The sequence below is a fragment of the Homo sapiens genome, chromosome 2 (assembly GCF_000001405.40).
Source record: "Homo sapiens chromosome 2, GRCh38.p14 Primary Assembly".
Taxonomy (NCBI): domain Eukaryota; kingdom Metazoa; phylum Chordata; class Mammalia; order Primates; family Hominidae; genus Homo; species Homo sapiens.
The window spans coordinates 111,606,878-111,630,724 of NC_000002.12; the positions used below are offsets into that span (position 1 = coordinate 111,606,878).

The 23,847-nt window shown below is 44.2% G+C and overlaps 2 long non-coding RNA genes across 2 annotated transcripts, besides 2 other annotated features; one reads left to right on the top strand and one right to left on the bottom strand.

The window, feature by feature from the left end:
• Positions 1 to 893: 893 nt before the first annotated feature.
• LOC105373559 (uncharacterized) lies at positions 894 to 5,664 on the top strand. Its single transcript, NR_188042.1, has 2 exons — positions 894 to 1,138; positions 5,025 to 5,664. It is a non-coding gene; the product is annotated as an uncharacterized LOC105373559 (long non-coding RNA).
• LOC107985933 (uncharacterized) lies at positions 3,534 to 12,950 on the bottom strand. The gene is made up of 3 exons (XR_001739641.2): positions 10,991 to 12,950; positions 7,666 to 7,733; positions 3,534 to 5,168 (listed from the first exon to the last, which is right to left on the bottom strand). It is a non-coding gene; the product is annotated as an uncharacterized LOC107985933 (long non-coding RNA).
• Positions 9,505 to 10,006: an enhancer, noted in NCBI's record as "H3K4me1 hESC enhancer chr2:112373959-112374460 (GRCh37/hg19 assembly coordinates)". NCBI's record gives its function as "activates a minimal SCP1, AML or CMV promoter by ChIP-STARR-seq in primed H9 embryonic stem cells {active_cell/tissue: H9 hESC(primed)}" and the evidence as "EXISTENCE:reporter gene assay evidence [ECO:0000049][PMID:30033119]".
• Positions 10,730 to 11,402: an enhancer, noted in NCBI's record as "H3K27ac-H3K4me1 hESC enhancer chr2:112375184-112375856 (GRCh37/hg19 assembly coordinates)". NCBI's record gives its function as "activates a minimal SCP1, AML or CMV promoter by ChIP-STARR-seq in naive H9 embryonic stem cells {active_cell/tissue: H9 hESC(naive)}" and the evidence as "EXISTENCE:reporter gene assay evidence [ECO:0000049][PMID:30033119]".
• Positions 12,951 to 23,847: the final 10,897 nt, after the last annotated feature.

Below are 23,847 nucleotides of genomic sequence, written 5' to 3' on the forward strand. Positions count from 1 at the left end.
GAAGCAGAGCTGGGGTGGAGTCAGAACAAGAGACAACAGCAGTGAACAGCAGGCTCTGACAACCAAAGACCAGAAAGGAGAGCATCTCCCAGCCCCCAAGGGGAGCAATGCCAGCCCCCAGCATCAGACACATCTGCAGGAAAAGCAGGGGACTTCAGCTAACCAAGAATAATGTTCCTTTACCCAGACAGAATTGAGCCTGGGAAATTAGATAACGCTAAAGGGAAGCCAACATGCATTTTCTGCACACCTGGCTTCTGGGTCTAAGATTTTTGTCTGCTCCTAAAATGCAAGCCTTGTTGAATTGGTGTGGGCTTCTCCTTAATCGCTGGGTAAAGCAGAGGGCTGGGGCACAGCCATATGCAGTAATCAGCCTGCCCTTAACCAAAGGGCCCGAGGAAGAGGTGAGACCAAAGAAGGTGAATCACAGGTTCAAAAGCGAAGCAAATAAAAGCAGTGGGGAGAGACGGGGTATGAATATGGAGCACACTTTGAGACACAGACACTTCCCAGGACCCTGCAGCCCTCTGAGCATCCCTCCACCCTACTCAGAGGCATTTTTCCCATATCGAACTCCTCGGGGTTGGGGATTCTGGATCCTCCTATGTAACCACTCCTTCCTGCTTCATCTCAACATCTGTGTTGTTTGCAAAGAAAGTGGGCTCCATAAGGTCAAGGGTTGCCCCAGGTGCATTTGGGTGTTTAACAGGGTTTTGGGTGATGACTGTGTAAAAGGAACAATATTAGAGTTTTTGACCAGAGTGACTGAGGAGCTCACAGGAGTACAGGGTGTATAAGTCCCACCAAAGATTCCATGTGCCTTGGGACTGCCCCATCCCATTGGGAATTCCAGTCTGGCTTCTTGGCAATGGGTGCCTGGGCAACAGAGCAACAGAGCAACAGAGCAAGGTGGAGGAGAGAAGCCCTCCTGGTACCCATCCCCACACCAGCAAGAGGGAGCGCCAGACTCACAGCCTCCCATCCCCTCCAGCCCCAGCCCACCTGACCTACATCAGCCACCTTCTGATTGATTCTGTTTTTTCCTGGGGAAAAGGCCAAAAAGCCATCTAGGCCTCAACCCCAGCATCTCTGAACCTCTGACCCAGCCCTGGACTTCCAAATTTCAGACTTCTTTCAGGTGAGACAAGCAAACCACATGTTTTTTAAGCCTCTGCTATTCAGGCTTTCCATTGTTTGCAGCCTAACGGAGCCCTGGCTGCTCCTGTCTGGAGATGGGGCACGTGGACGAGGCCTTGGAGAGGCCAGCATCTCTCACCTCCTTTCTAGCCCACAGCTCCAGGCACGCAGACTCTTCCTGTGACTATATAGAAGTCATCTATCTTCCTAAAGCCATAACCAGACAGACCTTCTGTCAAAAGGCAGGAGAGTTGGGAACGGGCTCTTTGAGGCCACAGATGGACACTGTCATTGACCCCTCCAGGATCCTGTTTCCTGACATACACCCTTGATTCAGGTCATCTGGTTATTGTGAGCTGGGTCATAAATCTTAAGGAGCTCCCTTTCTTTGCAAACAACTATACGCCAAGAATACTCCTTATTTATAAAACAATATGTATGCTGGTTCTATGGAAGGTTTTCAGTCCTCAGGGTGCTAAAATTCTTGTGCCCTTCTGCCTCTTTAACCATAGCACACATGCTCAAGAGAACTAGAGTTGCCAAGAAATCATTTCTATAGATGGGCTCCAACAAACCCAGGTTATGGAGGATGGCCTATTTCCAACAAGCTTCATTTAAGGTTCTCCTACATTAAAGGAATAAATATGATGATGTGAAGCAGAACATAAATGCCTGCAGAAAGTCAGAAAATTCCCTCCTGGTGCCTCATCATCATTGGGGTGAGGGGAACAAAAGGTGGAAAAATCGATTCCACCTTCTTATTCTTGGAGAAGAAAACAACTCTCTAGACAAGAACATGGACCAGCAAACAGGGAGAGACTGATTTCAGTCAATTATTGCAGTTGCCACATTTCTCAGGAGTGTTGATGTCCAGGTCGGGGCTGACCCATGAATGGTCAGCAACACACTCAGGCCAACAAAAAGGAGGAGGCCTGGCTGTGAATGAAGCATGCTCGACTTTAGCTCGTCATATGAGCAGGTCACAGAGAGCAGATGCCTGTGGGTGCTTAGTGAACACTGCAGGGCATGGCACTGGTACTGAAAGGGACTACAGTTAAATGTTTATCAGAATGTTTACAGCAAACTTCCCACAGCACAGGTCAGGTGAACTCTTTCTGCCCATGCATGAGCCTTTGGACAGACAGCCCCCAAAACTATGAGTCTTTAATATTAGCCTGCATCCCTCAGTTCTGGACTTTTCCACTGTACTGGGTTATACGTCATTCAAAATTCACCTCCAAAGGAACCTCAGCATAGATTCCTCACTCACTGTGGGACTGGACACAGCCTTTCAGGGCATCTCCAAATAGAACCAAGATAGTGAGGTAGGGGGCGGGACTCAACTCCAGAGGCTGGGCTCAGACACTGGACCAAATTGAGAGCTAGCTGAAACAGGGCCAGGGCAGAAGCAGCTTTCCATAAGACATGCCCACCAGTGTGCCATGTCAGTTTACCATCGCCGTGGCAACACCTGAGAGTTACCACCCCTTTCTATGGCAGTAACCCAATGACCCGGAAGTTACCACCTTTTTCCTAGAAATGCCTGCATCAACTGCCTTTTAACTTGCATGTAATTAAAAGTGGGTACAAATATGACTGCTGAACTGCCCCTGAGCTGCTACTCTGGGCACACTGCCTGTGGGGTAGCCCTGCTCCACAGGGAGCAGTACAGCTGCTGCTGCCTCAATAAAAGTTGCTGTCTAACACCACCACTTGTGCTTGAATTCTCTCCTGGGCAAAGCCAAGAATCCTCCTGGGCTAAGCCCCAGTTTGGGGTCTTGCCTGTCCTGCATCAGTTGCAAATGGTAAGCTGATAAGAAATGAAAATGTAAGGAAAACTCCTACATACCACCCAGGGAGAAGCCCACTCCCAGGCAGCATCAAGCCCAGAAGGAAGCAAATGGGGTTTGCAGGACTGCTTGGTGTTTGTCTGTGCAACAGCCACTGGGCCTGGTACGGGGCGAGTATGTGGGCAGAAAGAGGAGCTGGCAAGTAAGAGTTAGCTTTAAAAAGATGCTGACTCTGGGCTCCCCATTTGGCCATGGCATCAAACGCTCCTGCCAAGTAATTTGGCTCACAAATATTCACCATATGAGAATATCTGAGCATTAAAAAACAAACAAGAAAACAATCAGGAACCAAGTACCTCAGCTGGCTGGACAAAAAGGCATATGCTTACAAGCCAGGAGATGGGTGTGCAGGCTACTGAGTGTCACAAGAAGTGCAGCTTGGCCAATTGTGACTTCTGGAACGGTCTGTGTCAAAGATTTCAAATGCTGTGTGCAGTTGGCATGTGGCTGCTAAGCTTCTAATTTTGTGACCTTTAAGATTGTACAAATGAGCAAAACCCTTTGCAGATCTTTAAAGGGAATTTTAAGCAAGGTTCAGGAGCAATACAATGGTAATTTTTTTTTTATTTTACCCAGTTAAAACAGACTTTGTCAGGCAATGTGGAGACCTCTAAATTCACATCTTCTAAGGACATGGAGAGAAGGGAGTTTGTGTCTATTTTGACAAGAAAACCACCAGCCAGTTCCATGGTGCCACTCATCCAAGCTGCCTAATTAGTGGTATCAAGCCCTCTGTCTGAAAAGACTGCCTTGGATTTACTTAGCACCCATCTTCCTATAAATGTCTCCCAAAAGTCTTGGGAGTTCATCTCCTTTGCATTTTCACCATATCACACAGACCACCATGGCCACACATTAATGCCCCTGCCACCAGCCTCCATCGTCCACCAGGGATAAGCAAGAAAACATTGATTTGGGACTTCTGCAGGGTCCTTCCTTCACATGGTGTATGCTTTGAAACTGCCACGTCCCCAATCCACCACCATGGGTGGCCTCCTTCAAAGCCCTCAGCTCTCCACAGGAAACCTCCTCCTCCAGGACACCTGTCATCAGCTCCCCAGCTGCCTTAATTTCCTTCCTCAAAACACTCTACATTGCAATCATGCGACCATGCAATTGTTCAGCATATATGTTAGTTTCCTATGACTCCTATAGCAATTACCACAAACTCAGTGGCTTCAAACAACACAAATCTATTCTCTTACAGTCCTGGTGGTCAGAAGTCCAAAATGTGTCTTTCAAGGCTGAAAGCAAGGTATCAGAGGGTTGGCTCCTTTGGAAGGCTCCAGCAGAGAATCTGTCCCTTGCCTCTTCCAGTTTCCAGAGCTGCCAGCTTTCCTCAGTTTGTAGCTGCAGCACTCCCACATTTACTTCCATAATCACATTGCCTTCTCCTATGCTGATCACCTGCCTCCTCCTTATGAAAACCCCTGTGATTACATTAGGCCAATGCAGAGTAATCTCTCCATCTCAAGATCCTGAACTTAATCACATCTACAGAGTCCATTTTGCCATATACGATAATATTCACATGTTCCAGGGATCAGGATACAGACATGGTGGGAAGGTGGTGATTACTCAGCTTAATACACAGTGTGTCTTTCCCACTAGGATGTTAGTGATCAGGGTCTTTGTGCAGCTAATTTAGTCTTTATGCTCCAGGATCCAGCACAGAGCCAGATTCACTGTTCAGAAAATGAATGAGGAAATGAACTGAAGAGTGAATGTGCAAATAGAGTTCTTCTCTCAACTCTTCTACACTTCCTTTGAACTCTTTTTTTTTTTTTTTTTTTTTTTTTTTTTTGAGATGGAGTCTTGCTCTGTCACCCAGGCTGGAGTGCAGTGGCACAATCTCGGCTCACTGCAAGCTCCGCCTCCTGGGTTCACGTCATTCTCCTGCCTCAGCCTCCCGAATAGCTGGGACTACAGGCACCAGCACCATGCCCACCTAATTTCTTGTATTTTTGGTGGAGACGGGGTTTCTGAACTCTTATTTATTTATTCACTTGTCTATTTCCTTTTCCTCTCTCTTCCCAGCTCCTGCTTCTTCGTCACAGGTACACCAGGGCATCCAGCACATTGATTTGTCCCCACTCGCCTTAGCCTGTCTCCTGCCACAGTTGTCTCATTTTGGTGAAGTGCGTGTCCAGATTTCCCCATGCTCCCAGCTGCAACATGGATCTGTGAAAGACAGTACAGCAGAAAAGTATTCACATCCTGGCTCTCTCTGCCCTTCATTGTCTTTAAGCTCTTTAACAACTTTTACTTGGAGAGGAAAACAACTATCTAGACAGGAACACGGAGCAGCAGAGGGAGAAATTGTGTCTTTACTGATTTCAGTCAATTATTGCAGTGACCACATGTCTCAGGAGTGTTGATGTCCAGATGAGGGCTGACCCATGAAAGGTCAGCAAGGAAAAAGGAGGACCTAAACTTTCCTCGGTTTGCAAGTTGTAAAAGACCCATGGAATGCCAACTATCCTTGTCCATGGACATGTGGACAGACTGTCCAGTGGCTATCATCAATTTTGCATCTATTTGTAAATTCTATGTCAGCATTCCTATTGTCCTAGCTATGCGTGGCATTTTTAATTCTCCTTTGGGCTGGTTGTAGCATCTTACTGGTTCCCTCATTAATTAATGAACTAAATAAAATCTTTGACATGTGTTCATTTTACATTTGTGTAAGAGTCATGATTTTACCTTTAAAAAAAAAAGTCATTTTACAGGTCTCAGGAGAGAGGCAGCTGCATCAACAAACACAAGGACTAGCTCTCCTCTAGAGAATTCACAGCTGAAGGGTAGATTAAACGCACCCTTTGCCTTTCCCACCTTTCATTCCCTTTACCGTATCTAGCAGCCAGATGGAATGCATTGCAGAAGGAACAGTGGAGAAGCATACACACACAGCACTTGCCTGGGAGGGTCCCCTAGAGCAGCTGGGATCTCTATGCCCCCACCTCCACCTTTTAATCTCATGGTTTCTTGGCCTCTTCTCTCCCTTTCACACCCATCTAGAGATGACTTGAAGAGGCTCTGGCTTCCCCTTGGCCACTCTCAGCTGTCTTCCCAACTCCCGCCTGATCTTCACACTGGCAGTTATTGTCTTCTCAATCCTACACAAAGTCTATGCCAGCACAGCCTCCCAGCCCACTTCCCACTCCAACAGCCATCACACGAAGACATTCTGGAGTTATCACTCCATCCATGAGGAGCTGCCTACCAGTCCTTAGAAAGAAAGGGAAAGTCTGCTTCCAAACATGAGAAGGGGTTAGACCAAGGGCTACCTCCTGGCCAGGTGATGGAGGACTGGAGAAGCCAGATTAAGCCAGATTTCTGCCAATCCAAGCAAAAGGCAGGTGGCCAAGCAGCTGCAGGGAAGAAAATATGTTTTTTCCTCACCCATTACGAGGGTCATAGCTGAGGCACCTATGGCAAAATACAGATTAACAAGAGAAACATCAAACTTATTTAATTTAAATTTTATGTAACATAAGACACCTCAGGAAAAAAGATCCAAAGAGGCTGGGCACAGTGGCTCATGCATGCAATCCCAGCAGTTTAGGAGACTGAGGCAGGTGGATCACGTGAGGTCAGGAATTTGAGACCAGCCTGGCCAACATGGTGAAACACCGTCTCTACAAAAATTTAAAAATTAGCCGGGTATGATGGCGGGCACCTGTAATCCCAGCTACTCGGGAGGCTATGGTGGGAGAATTGCTGGAGCCCAGAAGGCAGAGGTTGCAGCGAGCCAAGATCACGCCATTGCACTCCAGCCTGGGTGACAGAACAAGACTCCATCTTAAAAAAAAAAGAAAGAAAGAAAGAAAGAAAAAGATAAAGAAATAGGGAATAGGGACACCTGTGTGTTTTTATTGTAAGTTTGATGGAGAAGTCGATAGTAGTGGAGAAGTGTGATTGGACAAAGAGAGTATGATCTAATTAGTTATATACAAGGGGGAACTCAGCAAGGCCTGTTTGTTCAGCTTTTCTTCTGCATCCCTGTGTCTTCAGAGATAAAGACGTTCCTCCCCTCCAGGTAAAGAGTGGGCACCTCTCACACAAGGACCTTATGCCTTGCTCCAGGAGAAAGTCAGCTTGGTTTCATGGCCTGCTTCAGGAAAAGAAGGGCAAGGAGAAGGTGAGAGAGGCCTTCCTGCTTCTGCCGTTTTCTCCAATGCCAATCTGCCATATTTTGGGGTAGTATTCCCTGAACCCCACCACAGCCTCAGAGAGTGGGGCTTTGCCCAAGGGTGAGTTGCAGCACTCTGCCAGGTGTTTCAAACAGCAGAGGTTAGTTACGGGGTATTGATTCAAAATAGCTACCACGCATGAGCTTGTCACCCTGCACCAACTCATCCTGTGCAGTTACCACTACTGTTAACTCTGACCTAGGATTTGTAGTTCATTCGGGATGTCATGCATGCTTCAGATCTCAGGCCCTAGTGACCTCACCTATAAATTTGGTGTGGGCAGTGATAGGCCTGGATGACCCTCAGTGGCCCTTCTAGCACAAAAATTTCTCAAGTCAGAAGAACAAAACCCTGTACTTCTACTCTCCCTGGGACAGTGGCACCAAATATGCCATAAGTGTTCATCTTTCCGGTGGAGTTCATACGTGTAGTGTTGTGTTTACTTTACTGACTGTAAACAGAACAGGTGCCTGTCATTCACTCACCCATTCCTTCCGTCTGGATACAGGGCAGCAGAAATCAGCAGAATGCTTTTATTCACAGAGCTGAATGCCTACACCAGAAAACAAACATTAAGCAAATAGTGGCAGAAATAATTTTTTTTTTTTTAGACGAAGTCTCACTCTGTCACCCAGGCTGGAGTGCAGTGGGACGATCTTGGCTAACTGCAGCCTCCACCTCCCAGACTCAAGTGATCCTTCCACCTTGGCCTCCCAGGTAGCTGAGATTACAGGCACGCACCACTATACCCAACTGATTTTTGTATTTTTCGTAGAGATGGGGTTTCACCATGTTGTCCAGGCTGGTCTGGAACTCCTGACCTCAAGAAATCCACCTGCCTCGGCCTCCCAAAGTGCTGGGTTACAGGCATGAGCCACCGCACCCAACCACAAATACATTTTAAATTGCATTTATGATCACTTCTTTGGATGAGAGGCTGGTCCTAAGGGAATGTATAATGAGTGTTTGACTTAAACATGGGGTCAGGGAAGTCTTCCCTGAGGAGGAGTAAATGGGTTTAGGAGATAGTTCAGGCTTTCACCATTAAGCATGATGCAACCTGCAGGAATTTTGTAAATGCCTTTATTATTTTAAGGAAGTTTCCTACTGTTCCTAGTTTGCTGAGAGTTTTTACCATTAATGGATATTGAATTTTGACAAATGCTTTTTTGCATTCTTTGAAAAAGATTTTATTATTGTAATCCTTCATTCCATTAATAGAGTAAATCACATTGATTGGGTTTCTAATGCTTAACCAAGCTTGCATTCCTGAGATAAACCCAACTTAATGAAGATGTATTACCCTTTCTCTAATATTAATGGAAGTCAGAGACAGGGACCAAGGAATAATTTAATTATGCCTGTAATTCTCGATATGATTTGGATTTGTGTCCCCACCCAAATCTCATGTTGAATTGTAATCCCCAATTTTGGAGGTGGGGCCTGGTGGGAGGCGACTGAATCATGGGGGTGGTCCTTCGTGAATGGTTTAGCACCAACCTCTTGGTGCTATTCTTGTGATAGTGAGTTACTGAGGGATCTGGTTTTTTAAAAGTGTGTAGCACCACCCCCCTCACTCTCTCTTGCTCCTGCTCCTACCATGTAAGATCCCTGCTCCCCCTTCGCCTTCCACCATGATTTTAAGTTTCCTGAGGCCTTTCCAGAAGTGGAGCAGATGGCAGCATCATGCTTCCTGTACAGCCTGCAGAACCATGAGCGACTTAAACCTCTTTTCTTTATAAATTACCCAGTCTCAGGTATTTCTTTATAGCAATGCCAGAACAGACTAACAATTCTCAATCCTCATTTTAAAATAATCACCATCTCCTAAGGCTGGGTGAAGACATAATATGTGTTACAAGGGAGCATGGTAAATGCTGGAGACACAGGTTGATTTATAAATGCCCTGCCATGAAGCGGGATACATGGCAAGACAGGTTTCAGTATGAGCCATGCCTTGAATGACAGCAGGGAAAATCACTTTTAATGGATGCCAGGGGCTGGCAGGAGCAGAAAAGACAGACATACAGAGTCTGGGAAACAGAGAGCAAACCAGCATGGCTGGGTAGAAGAAGGGCTGTCCATGGATGATCACGAGTGCTGGGCTGTGGCATTCAAACCTTATCCTCCTGGTCAGCAGGGAACCGTGAACACAGGAAAGGGCTCACAATGCAAAGATGAAGTGAATAAAGCATGATACAGAACTGCAATGCAGAATGACTCCAGTTTTATTAAATTGTGTGTGAGATGAGAGAGGCTGGTTGTATTAGTTTGCTAGGATGGCCAAAACAAAATGCCATGAATTGGGTGGCTTAAACAACAGAAATTTATGTCTCACAGTTCTAGAGGCTCAAAGTCCCAATCAAGTGCCAGTAGGACTGGTTTCTGCCGAGGCCTCTCGCCTTGGCTTGCAGATGGCCGCCCTCTCGCTGTCTTTTCACGTGGTTGTCCCTCTATGAACAAGACCTCCTCGTGTTTCTTCTTTGTCCAAATTTCCTCTTTTTCTAAGAGCGCCCATCAGTTTGGATCAGGGTCCACCCTACCAGCTTCATTTTAACTTAAGTACCTCTTCAAAGGGCCTATCTCCAATTACAGTCAAGTCCTGGCATCACCATTCCCAGTGACTGAGGAGGCCAGAAGTAAAATGAAGATGGTATCTGCCCTCCCCCTGTACCGTGTTAAGCTCAGGGCAGAATCTGAAGGTCACCAGGTGAAGTCCATGGCTCCCTGTCCCTGGGGTTTGAGGAATGCAGCCTTGCTGGGCATCACTGGCCTGCACATCCAGATGCGGCTGCTCTTTCTCACCCCACGCTTGCCCTGGTCAGCCAGAGCCTGAGCACCCGCACTTCAGCCGACAGAGTGCTCACTGGAGCAGCATCAGAGCCCCTCTGTCCTCTTCAGAGGCTGGGTCAGAGCAACTTCACTTCGATGCATGACACCTGAGAGGCACCTGCACACAGGTGCACAGCTGGAGAGAAAAGTCAGCAGCCTGCCTTGCCAGAGGGCAGACAGACCACGCTTGGACTTCAGTTTCCAGGCGGAACAAAAGGATCTCCACATTTTTTACCTTAAAAATTAATTGACAGGTCCTGTCTGTTCCCAAGTGTCTAACATCTAAGAGGGTTGGGTTCATAGTCTGGCTGAGGATATCCTTTCCCTCCCCTCCCATTTTTACTGTAAAAACATTTTGACTAGAAAAAGAAAACCTCTTATATACTCACTATCCCAGGCAAGATTCTTCTTTTTTCTTTTTCCTCTCTGGTTGTTTTTTTTGTTTTGTTTTTTTGTTTTTTTTTTTCATTTCCTTACATTCTCTGTGCATTTGCCTATGCACCGTGGGATTTAAACAATAGATTGGGAAAACAGTGGAGAGGGCACTGAGGGTGCCCTTTTGTGGTAGAAATTGATTTTGCAGCCCTCCCCTCCCCCCCATACACACGCACATACACACACTGGGTATTTTGTTAGTCTTAACCAAAGATCAAAACAACATAGCCTTGACCTTAACTCACAAACAGCCTCCAGCTACAGGGAAAAAGTCTCTGAGCAGGGGGAGTACAAGTCCCACCAGAGCCCTTATTGATGGCAATTTAACAACAGGTATTTTATTTAAGGCCTGCATTTTTCATACAGAGACACAGTGACTCGGCTTTCAGGTATGTCTCATAAGGAAGTAGGAATGGAGAAAAGACTTGGGATTTTGAATATTTTACACAGCTTTACTGATGAACAGTAAACTGGAAGTGATCGCCATGTCTGACTGTAAAGGAATAGTTAAATAAATGTGCCACCCATGAGTAGAATGCATACCTTACGCACGTGTGCATGCACCTTCTCCAGGCAGGAAGAGTTTCCTGTGCACCCCTCACCTCCACCCATAGGAAGAGCTATGGGACCTACAGGAACTCCAGTGCTCCTGGGGCACTCCCAGCCTGTGGCACTGGAGTGTCACGTGGACAACAGAGGGTGGCTTTGTGGTCAGAACAGCATGGGCTCAAATCCAGCTTGGTCTTGCCTTGGCCTGCGTAGCCCGGGCAGCTCTTCTGCCTCCCCCAACCCAGGGAAGTGGGGTTGATGTTCTGAATCTGCAGGGCTCTTGGAGAAGTTACAGGGTGCCTGACACATGGGAGCCAGGCTCTGCCCACAGTCACCCAGCCAGCATGTTGCAGAGCCAGGATTTTAAATTAGATCCAGCCAGTTCCAGAATCATTACTTTTTCCGTTCCGTATGCATACCAGGCTGCCTCTTTCTAGATTATCCTCCAAAAAGCCCTGGGGAGGCGGCAGCAGCATGAGCGGCAGACAGGCGGCCAAGAAGTGAGGCCCCAGACAGGGATCTGAGCGTGATCTTTGCCCTTGGGACGCAAGGCATCCATCCAAGAGGTCACAGAAATCAGCAGCTTTCACCGGGAAGCCCCAAGTCCTGGGATTGGGGTGCTGAAGGGGGATCCAAAAAAAACAGTCATTGATTTGGAAGGAGATGCTGTTCTCCATCTCAGCCAGCTGTTAAAGGGACATGGATTGAACTCCCAGGCAGGGAGGGGCATTTTGTTTCCCTTGGCCACATCAGCATGTTTTTACAGTTGAGAGAGCAGGAGATGACTCTCCAGCCTGTGGCAGAGAGAAAGTGCCCTTGGCCCAACTCCGTGGAAGATGTTCCCCACCCCCCTTCCAGGAGAAGCTCCTGCTGGTGGATGCACGAACCCAGCTGGTGGCGACACAAGGCCAGTGGGCACTCTCTGCCTTGCTGAGGCCTCAGCCTCCTGGCTGCGAAGGCCCCGGGTTCCCCTCTGCAGCCAAGTCTTTACTTCCCCTTCACCCTGAAAAACGTCTTCACAGACTATCATTCTTGGTCTCTTGACTGCCTTTCTCCGGTTTCCTTTCACAATCCCTCAGAGATGGGACATCTCTCCAGAGGACGCCTGGGTTGTGAGGATCTATGGTCAGAACATTTTGGTCAATGACAGATTACATACACCACAGTGGCTCCCTCAGATTATAAAGGAGCTGAATAATTCCTATCACCAAGTGACAGTGCTATGCCATCTAAGCTTGTGTAAGTACACCCTGTGATGTTCACACAATGACGAAATCACCATTGTTAAGTAAATGGGTTTGGGAGAAGGTTCAAACAGCTTCCACCTGCCCCACCCTTCCGTTTCCTAAGCTCAGCCATGCCTTTGGAGGGTAGCACCTTTGTTTCTTCCACATGTCGCAAATACAGTGACACATGACTGTATTCAGGAACAAGGAGGCTCTGGTGCAAAAAGAACATCATTTCCATATGTGAGTGGGTCTTCTGGGTCCATCACAGGCAGCCAATTCAAGTGGTCCATCCGTCAACAGAATTCTTCTTCCAGGCTCACCAGGACTTCTTCCAGCCATAGCACATAACATCATAGCACAACACATTACCCACGTGTTTGTGGCAGTGCTGACGTCAACACACCTCCTGCACTGCCAGGCCTGTAAAAGTCTAGCACAATTTCATACAATACATAATACTTGATAATAATAATAAATGATTAGATTGCTGGCTTATGGTATTTACTGCTGTATTTTTAATGATTATTTTAGAGTGTATTCCTACTTATGAAAAAATAGTTAGGCAGGTCCCTCAGGAGGTATCCAGAAGAAGGCGCTGTTATCCTAGGAGATGACAGCTCCATGCATCGTATTGCCCCGATGTCCCTCCAGCAGCACAAGATGTGGACAAGAAGGCAGTGATAGCGACGATCCTGACCCTGCAGAGGCTCAGGCTAATGTGTGTGTTTGTGTCTTAGTTCTGAATAAAAAAGTGTAAAATGTTAAAAAAAATTACAACAGAAAAAATGCTTATTGAATAAGAATATACAGAAAGAAAATATTTTTGTATAGCTGTACAACGTGTTTGTGTTTTAAGCTGTTATTAGAAAAGAGCAAAACAAATTTAAAAATGAAAAGATCTATAAAGTAAAAATGTTACAGTAAGCTAATGTTAATTTATTATTAAAGAAAAAATGTTGAAATAAATTTAGTGTAGCCTGAGCGTACAGTGTTTCTAAAGCCTACAGCAGTGTAGAGCAATGTCCTAAACCTTCACATTCTCTCACCACTCACTCACCGACTCACCCAGAGAAACTTCCAGTCCTGCAAGCTCCATTCATGGGAAGTGCCCTATACAGGTGTGCCATTTTTAATCTTTCATACTGTGTTTTTCCTGTGTCTTTTTAAGGTTTAGATACACAAATTATTGCCATTGTGTTACAATTGCCTGCAGTATTCAGTAGAGTAACATGCTGTACAGGTTTGTAGCCTAGGAACAATTGGCTACACCATACAGCCTAGGTGTGTAGTAGGCTATGCCATCTAAGCTTGTGTAAGTACACCCTGTGATGTTCACACAACGATGAAATCACCAAATGATGCATTTCTCAGAACGTATCCCCGTTGTGAAGTGACACATGACTGACTGTATTCAGGAACAAGGAGACTCTGGTGCAAAAAGAACATCATTTCCATGTGTGAGAGGTCTTCTGGGTCCATCACAGGCAGCCAGTTCAAACGGTCCATCTGTCAACGGAACTCTTCTTCCAGGCTCACAGGGACAGAACTGATAGGCCCACCATCCTTCCTTCCTTCCTTCCCTTCCTTCCTTCTCTCCTTCCCCACCTTCCACTCCTCCTTTCATCCTTCTCTCCTTCCTCCCTCCTTCCTTTCCTTCCCTTCAGAGGATCCTGCAGAGGCTCTGGGTGTCAAAGCAAAACACTCCAAAGATCAGTGGAAGGACATGGATTCCTACATCTCCATACAACTTCACCCAAGGTACAGTCACCTTCTCTGAGATGAAAAAGAGAGAGAAAGGGAGGGAGAAACCCTTTATTAAGCACCTAATGAGTGGTAAGTGACCTCACAAGCCTGTGAGGAGGAATGCGGCTTCCCATCTGTATGGATAAGATTGAGTATGGGAGTCAAGAGGGTTACTGATAGAGACAAGACCAGGACCGCAGGTTTCTGGCCCCAGTGTTCACACCTCTGCAACTTAGCATCACAGAGCTACAGAAATGAAACTCCCCCAAAGAGGCTGCTTCCAAAACCAGTGACTTGCCCAAAGGCCACAATAAAAAAGAGCCCACATATCTGTACACCTGGGACACTGAAAATGCATGATATGCAACCACACGTCACCAGGTGAATGAGTCCTGCAGATGATGGGGCTGGCCCATATCAGCTCACAAGACTTGATCACGAAATAGTCTGGAATTTAAATCATTGGTAGCTTGACATCAGCCATGGTGGAGGTGTTGACATTGGTAAATGTTAAAACTGAGATCTTGTTTTGTTTTTTGATTTTTTGGTTGGTTTTGCTTTTTGTCTTCTGAGAACCAATTGACCAGAACGCCACTGGATGGCTTTTACAAATGCTGAGCAAAAGCAGCCAGATACAAAAGAGGACACTATGCATGACCCATATGAGGAGATCAAGGACAGCAAAGCTGAGCTATGGTGATGGAAGCCATGGGTATGGCAGGGCATCCGGGGAACCGGCTGTGTTCTGAGTCTTGATCTTGGTGGTGGTTTCATGGGCATGGTCAGTGTGTGAAAATAGTGCTGCAATGAACATACATGTGCATGTATCTTTATAATAGAATGATTTATATTCCTTTGTGCTTCACATTTACGATGGAATGTTTTTCATAGACACAGCCTCATAACATTTCTATTCATATTGGTAGTGGAGAAGAAAATGGGGACCCTCTATTCCCTTTTAAGAGAAAAAAGATCATTGATTGAACCTTTAAAAGAGATCAAATGAGGTCATACACGGGACTCGAATACTTCAGGATCAGGAGTTGGTGGCTCCATCCAGCTCCGCAAACTTGGGCAAGTTCTAATCACTCTGGCCTTCAGTTTCTTCCTGTGTTAAGTGGAGATAAAAACTTCTACTTCTGGCCAGGCATGGTGGCTCATGCCTGTAATCCCAGCACTTTGGGAGGCCGAGGTGGGCGGATCACCTGAGGTCGGAAGTTCAAGACCAGCCTGACCAACATGGAGAAACCCCATCTCTACTAAAAACACAAAATTAGCCGGGTGTGGTGGTGCATGCCTGTAATCCCAGCTATTCGGGAGGCTGAGGCAGGAGAATTGCTTGAACCCAGGAGGCAGAGGTTGCGGTGAGCCAAGATCGCAACATTGCACTCTAGCCTGGGCAGCAAAAATGAAACTCTGTCTCAAAAAAAAAAAAAAAAACTTCTACTTCTAGTGTTGTTGAGGAGATTAAATATGTGTCACATTGCCTAAAATACTACAAATGTTCAATAGATTGGCTATGATGATTATTAATCAGCCCCACAGGTGGATAGGAGAAGGGAAAGAGAAGAAGAATGCATATTTGAGAATACAGCCAGTGAAGGCAAGAACACAGTTCCTGCCCAATATTGTGGCCTTTGTGCATGGCTCTGTTCTCTCCCCGTGGCTGGCTGAGCTCCCTCCTAACTCTGAAAATATTGAATCTGCAGTGGTTTAGAGTAGTCCTGGGTCAAATGACCCCAACTTGGAGCAAGTTTGATTCTGGGGCACATCTGGGGACATGATCCAATCTAGATTCACATGGATGATACATTTTCCCAGCTAAGCCCATAGCAGGTTCACAGTTCAGCTCTGAAGGAATCATACCAATCGTGGAGTGGCTGAAAATTCTGACAAAGGCTTATAGAAGTGCCTTGCACTGAGAAAGATCCTCACAGAAAACATAAATAATGAAAATTGCAAAGCTTCCATTTCTCTGAGTGGATTGTGTTAGAATCGAGTGTTTCACACTTTGATCCCAACATGATTTCCACCCAGTCTATTAGTAAATATGAATCATAGATCCTCAGGCCTAAAAGGGACCCAGGAAATTGTCTCATCCAATTGCCCACTGGAAGCTCAAATTCTCAAATTTCACTAGCTCAGTGGTTGACTGGCCAGCACATCCAACACATTGGACAACACGTTCCAGGAACAGGGAGCTCACTCCTTCATAGGCAGCCATGGCATCCATGCATAGCTGTGTGGAAACATTCCTGTGGCAAAGACAAATCAGCCTGGCCGTGGCTCCCCAGTGGGCCTGGGCCTATGCCTTGGGGTCACCCAATGACATGAGAAAGACACCTCTTCCATGAAACATTCCCCATCATCTGTGCAAACACCTTCCACCTGCCCCGCCCTCCCATTTCCTAGGCTCAGCCACGCCTTCGGAGGGTAGCACCTTTGTTTCTTCCACATGTCACAGTTTCCCATTTCTTCATCTTCCTAGTCTTGCCTTTGCATTTTAAACTATTGCAGAGGTACCAAAACAAGGCCTTTTCCCTTCAAAGCCAACTTTTTCTTTAAAAAAAAAAATGTTTTCCGCAGTTCATGGCATCCAGATCTTTTGCAATCTGTCTCTGCCTATTCTTCCAGCCTTGTCTTCTGATGCTGCCCCACACCCACTCTCCTTCAGCAGTAATGGATCTTCCTCCATGACTCTGCATGCTGCTCCCTGCACCCCATCATCGCCCCCACAATTTCAGCTCAGATGCTGCTTCTCACCTCACTACAAGGCCCATACCAAGTCTATCTGTGCCTCACTATCCTCCCCTGCAGGTTGCTTCTCCCTCCATGGTGTCTCCAGGAGTCTCTTCCCTACTATACCACCGCCCCAGGATCATTTCTTTGTATTTCTCTCTCCTACCAGACACTGAATGCTTGGATCAGAAACCAAGCATTGTGTCTCATCTTCCAGCACCTTCCAGCCTTCTCACACCTGTTACACCTACCATTTATTTATTTATTTATGTTCAGAAACAGGTCTCACTGTGTTACCCAGGCTGGACTGCAGTGGCTATTCACAGGCACAATCATGCACCTACTATTTTTTTAATCAACTTTTATTTTAAGTTCCAGGGTTCATGTGCGGGATTTGCAGATTTGTTACACAGATAAACATGTGCCATGGTAGTTTGCTGCACAGATCAACCCATCAGGTAGGTATTAAGCCCATCATCCATTAGCTATTCTTCCTGATGCTCTCCCCCCAGTGCACCTTCTGACAGGCCTCAGTGTGTGTTGTTCCCCAACATGTGACCATGTATTCTCATTGTTTAGCTCTCACTTATAAGTGAGAACATGCGGTGTTTGGTTTTCTGTTCCTGCATTAGTTTGCAGAGGATAACGGCTTCCAGCTCCATCCATGTCCCTGCAGAGGATATGATCTCATTCCTTTTTATGGCTGCACAGTATTCCATGGTGTACATGTACCACATTTTCTTTATCCAGTCTAGTGTTGATGGGCATTTGGGTTGATTCCATAACTTTGCTATTGTGAATAGTGCTGCAATTAACATACATGTGCATGTATCTTTATAACAGAATGATTTATATTCCTTTGGGTATATGCCCAATAATGGGATTGCTGGATGTTGCTGGATCAAATGGTATTTCTGCTTCTAGATCTCTGAGGAATTGCCACACTGTCTTAAACAATGAACTAAATTACTCTCTCACCAACAGTGTAGAAGCGTTCCTTTTTCTCCACAGCCTTGCCAGCATCTGTTGTTTCTTGACCTTTCAATAATTGCCATTCTGACTGGCATGAGATGGTATCTCATTGTGGTTTTGATTTGCATTTCTCTAATGATCAGTGATGTAGAGCTTTTTGTCATATGTTTGTTGGCTGCATGAATGTCTTCTTTTGAGAAGTGTCTGTTCATGTCCTTTGCCTACTTTTTAATGGGGGCAACTACTGTTTTTAAGAAATTATTTTTCCTGCTCCAATAACCCAAGTCTGCCAAATATGGGTTTGCCACGAATTAGCTGGTTGTGTTTCTTTAAGAACTGTCAAGAGCCCATTTCCTGATATAAATCACAGTTTGTGTGGAAATAGTAGCTATGAGTTTGTGTGGAAATACTAGCTATGTTAAGCAACATGTTCAGATGCTAATCTCACATCAGTGCATTTCTCAACATGGACTTCTAAGAAGAAAGCTTCAGTGAGGGTTCCAATTACAAGATTTGCTCACAGAAGCAAGTCACAGTTGTAAAAATCAGCACATTTGGTACATGGTATATAGAACACAGTCCCTTTGACGAAGCTTTTCTTGTCTTTGGATCTTGATTGTGTTTTCAAAATTATAATCCATCAGGCCAGAATCTATTACAAGTTAGTAAAAATGAGCATGATTCTTTTTTTTTTTTTTTTTTTGAGACGGCGTCTCGCTTTGTTCCCCAGGCTGGAGTGCAGTGGCGCCATCTCAGCTCACTGCAAGCTCTGCCTTCCGGGTTCACTCTATTCTCCTGCTTCAGCCTCCTGAGTAGCTGGGACTACAGGCGCCCGCCACCACACCCGGCTAATTTTTTGTATTTTTAGTACAGATGGGGTTTCACCGTGTTAGCCACGATGGTCTCGACCTCCTGACCTCGTGATCTGCCTGCCTCAGCCTTCCAAAGTGCTGGGATTACACAGCATGTTTCTTATAATTAAAAATGTGATGCCAGAATTTGAGCTTATGAGATGAAGGAGATGTACTTTTCCCTATTCCTCCTGGTAAGTACAACTAAAAACCCTGGACATTATATGTAAAATCAATAACTAGGTAAGAAGATTCTGAGAGGTGGAGAGAAGGCAGACAGGAGGCTAGGAACCTCAACACACAAGTAACAAAATGATAAGGAGTTCCAAGTTAATGTTTTGCCTCACATATGCCAGAGTTGGAACTGAACAAGCCAGCAAACTGGAAACACCAGTGGGCACAGACAAAAATCGCCCTGACAAAAGCCTGCTCCCCACAGCCAAAGGGCCAGCAAAAGTCAGCCTAGCAAGACAGAAAACTTTCAGGCAATAACCATCCTACTCCAGCCAAACACCCAAGAAAAACTGTGGCTCAGCCACTACCCACACCAGCCAAGGTCAAGTGGGAGCCTAGCCTTGCAGGAATGTGCCCCAATCACCTGTCAGGTGGTGTCAGAGAAAGTTGAATAGGGAGCCAGGACTTCTATCCCCACCAAGCAGTAACAAGCATCTCCCATCACTACATGGTGCCTTTAAAGATCACCTGGTCAGTCTGGATTTTTACCCCTAACTCAGAGTTATAAGGCCTCCCGCTCTCTGCTAGTGTAGTCTCAAAGGAGAGTGGAGAACCAGGATTTCACCACAGCCCAGTGTAAGAAGGCCCACACCCCATATCAGTGGTGTCAGTTGAGGCTGCATGGGGAGCAGAAATGAGTCACTCATATCTTTTTCAGCTAGGGAGGTATCAGTAGATACCAACACTGAGAGAAATGAGATGTTAGATTATCTGACAAAGATTCTAAAGTAGCTGTCATAAAAATGCTTCAATGAACAATTATAAGCACACGAGAAACCAATAAAAAATTGAAATTCTCAGCAAATAAATTGAAACTCTCAGCAAAGAACAAGAAGATATACAAAGAAAAGAGCCAAACTGAAATTTTAGAAGTGAAAAATACAATAATTAAAATAACAGGCTCAGTGGGTGGGCTTAGCAGCAGAATGGAGGGGACAGGGAAGAATCAGTGAGCTGGAACATAGAACAATAGAAATTACTCAGTCTGACCAACAGAAAGAAAGTAGACTGAAAAAGAATGATAAACAGAGCCATAGGGATTTGTGAGACTGTAACAAAAGATACATCTTTTGTATTATCAGAGTTCTTGAAGGAGAGGAGAAAGGGCACAGGGCTGACAAACTGGTAAAGGAAATAATGACTAAAACCTTCCAAATTTGGTAACACCTAAAGATTCAGCAAGCTGAGAAAACCAAAAACAGGGTCAAACCAAATAAATCTATGCAAAAATCTATCATAATCAAACTTCTGAAAATTAAAACAAAGGAAAAAACCTAAAACAGCAAGAGAGAAATGACACCTTACCTATAGATAAAAACCAATTCAGATAACAGCATATTTCTCATCAGAAACCATGGACTCTAGAAGGAAATGGCATATTTTTCAAGTGTTGAAAGAAAATAACTGTCCACCCAGAATCCTATATCTAACAAAAATATCAGAAATTAAGGGGAAATTAAGGCATTCTCAAATGAAACAAAACTAAGAGAATTTGTAGCAAACAGACCTATAATAAAAGAAAGGATAAAAGAAGTTCTATAAATACAAAAGAAATGACAAAAGAAGAAAATCAGACCTTTGAAAATCAGAAAGGAAGGAAGAAAACAGCAAACAAAAATGTCGATAAATACAATACACTTTCTGTATTAGTCTGTTTTCATACTGCTATAAAGTCATACCTGAGACTGGATAATTTATAATTAAAAGAGGTTTAATTGACTCACAGTTCCACATGGCTGGGGAGGCCTCAGGACACTTTCAATCATGGCAGAAGGCAGAAGGGGAACAAGCACGTCTTACCACAGCAAAGCAGGAGCAAAAGAGAGCACGCAAAAAAGCCACACACTTTTAAACCATCAGATCTCATGAGAACTCACTCACTATCATGAGAAGAGCTCGGGGGAAAATGCCCCATGATCCAATTACCTCTCACCAGGTCCCTCCCTCAATACATGGGGATTACAATTTGAGATAAGATTTGGGTGAGAACGCATAACCAAATCATATCACTTTCCTTGTCTTAAGTTTTCTAAATTATGTTTGAAATTTGAAGTAAAAAATTATGGCACCCTCTGATATAGTTCTAATTATGTAATAGAAATATTTAAAACAATTATATTATAAATGAGGATAGTAAGGGGTCATAAAGGCAAATAAGATTTCTACACTTCACTAAAATTGGCAAAATTATGACACCTGTAGACTGTGATAAATTATGAATCTATAATGTAATACCTACAGCAACTAAAACGCCATGCAAAGAGGAACTGATATGGTTTGACTGTGTGCCCACCCAAATCTCATCTTGAATTGCAGTTGCCATAATTCCCATGTGTTGTGGGAGGTAACTGAATCATGGGGACAGGTCTTTCCTGTACTGTTCTCATGATAGTGAATAAGTCTCATTAATCTTATGGCTTTATAAAGGTGAGCTCCCCTACACAAGTTTTCTCTTGCCTGCTGCCATATAAGATGTGACTTTGCTCCTTATTCACCATACGCCATGATTATGAGGCCTCCCCAGCCATGTGGAACTGTGAGTCAATTAATTCTCTTTCCTTTATAAATTACCCAGTCTCAGGTATGTCTTTATTAGGAGCATGACAACAGACTAATACAGGGACATTCAAAAATGCCATAGATAAACCAACACTACATTCTTAAAAATGTTTAAATAACCCATAGGAAAGAAAGGAAAAAAGAGAAAAATGCAAACAAGAACAGAGAAAAAAAGTCAGATTTACGTCATGTCAATAATTACATTAAGTGTAAATGGTTACAATATGACAATTAAAATACAGAGATTGGCAGAGTGGGTTAAAAAAACATGATCCAACTATATAATATCTATAAAAATCAATTTAAAACATAATAGTATAGATAGGTTGAAGGTAAACAAACTGAGATTATATATATAATGTATATCTCAGACAAAGTAGACTTCAGAGCAAAGAAAATTATCAGAGACCCAGAGGGACAGAGGGACATGGTATAATGATAAAAGAAACAATCCACCAAAGATTTAGCAATCATAAATGTGTATGCAACAACAGAGCTGCAAAATAGGCAAAACAAAAACCAACGGAACTGAAAGGAGAAATAGACTAATCCACAATTACTGCTGGAGATTTCAATACCTCCCTCTCAACAATTGATAGAATAACCAGACAGAATATTGGCAAGGGTATAGAAGAATGGAACAATACCGTCAACCAACAGGATCTAATCAACATTTATAGAACAATCCACCCAACAACAGCAGAATATACATTCTTGACAGTTGCCTACAGAGCTTATACCAAGACAGACTCTATTCTGAGCCAAACACACTTCAACAAATTCAAGATAATTGAAATCATACAGTGTATTCTCCAGCCACAATGGAATAAAATTAGACATCAATAAGAAAAATCTCAAAACACTTGGAAACTAAATAACACATTTCTAAATTATCCATAGGTCAAAGATGAAGTCTCAAGAGTTTTTTAAAAAATACATTCAACTGAATGATAATGAAAATACAACATATCAAAAGTCGTGAGACACAGCTAAAGCTGTACTGAGGGGGATATTTATAGCATTAAATGCATACACTGGAAGAAAGAAAATCTCAAGTGAACCTAAACTTCTACCTAAGGAACCTAGGGAAAAAAAGAACAAAATATACTCAAAACAGTCCAGGCACGGTGGCTCACGCCTGTAACCCCAGCACTTTGGGAGGCCGAGGAGGGCAGATCACTTGAGGTCAGAAGTTCGAGACCAGCCTGGCCAACATGATGAAACCCCATCTCTACCAAAAATACAAAAATTAGCCAGGCATGGTGGTGCATGCCTGTAATCCCAGCTACTCAGGAGGCTGAGACAGAAGAATGGCTTGAACCCGGGAGGCAGAGGTTGCAGTGAGCCAAGATCAAACCACCGCACTCCAGCCTGGGTGACGAGAGCAAGACTCCACCTCAAAAAAATAAATAAATATGCTCAAAACAAACAGAAAAAAAAAAAGAAATAGTAAATATAAGAGCAGAAATCAAGGAAATTAAAACAGAAAGACAATGCAGAAAATCAATAACACAAGTGTAGAAATCTTACTTTCATTTAGATCCTTTTATTGTCTCTGCTTATTAAATGTAATCCTCTTAAAAGTATTCTCTCTGCAGACATTGAGGACTACATCAAATGGTGTTACAGCTTTTGCTTCGACCATAAAACCATAAAATATAATCAAAGAAATTCATGAGATGGAGAATCTGTTTACTTCTAATTCTATCCATTCCATTGTTTTTTGTTGTTGTTGTCGTTGTTTGTTTTTTCCTTTCTGAAGGTTCCAGCCTTTTTCTACTATCATCTTCTTTCTGTTTGGAGAGCTTCCTTAGACATTCTTTAAAGGTAGCTATGCTAGCAACAAATTATCTTAGTTTTTCTTCTTCTGTGAAGGTGTCTATTTCTCTTTCAACCCTGAAGCATAGTTTCACTGGATATGTGAATTGGGGCTGTTCTTTTCTTTCCGCACTTGAAAAACATTGTTCCACTTCCTTCAAATAGTCATGGTTTCAAATGAGAAATCCACTGTCAATCAAATTGGTATTCTTGTATAGATAATGTATCATTTCTCTCTGACTACTTTTTTTTCTTTTTTTAAGATGGAGTCTTGCTCTGTCACCCAGGCTGGAGTGCAGTGGCACAATCTCAGCTCACTTGCAACCTCTGCCTCCTGGGTTCTAGCGATTCTCCTGCCTCAGCCTCCCGAGCAGCTGGGACTACAGGCATGTGCCACCACACCCAGCTAATTTTTTTTTATTGTTTAGTAGAGATAGGATTTCACCATGTTGGCCAGGCTGGTCTCAAACTCCTGACCTCAGGTGATCCACTCATCTCAGCCTCCCAAAGTGCTGGGATCACAGGCATGGGCCACCACGCCCAGCCTCTCTCTAGCTATTTTTAAGATTTTTTCTTCGTCTTTAGTTTTCATAAATTTGGCTATGATGTGTCTGGGTGTGGATTTGAGTTTATTCTATTTGGGATTTTATTAGCTTCATGAATCTGAAGATTTATATATTTTGCCAAACTTGGGAAGTGTTTAGCC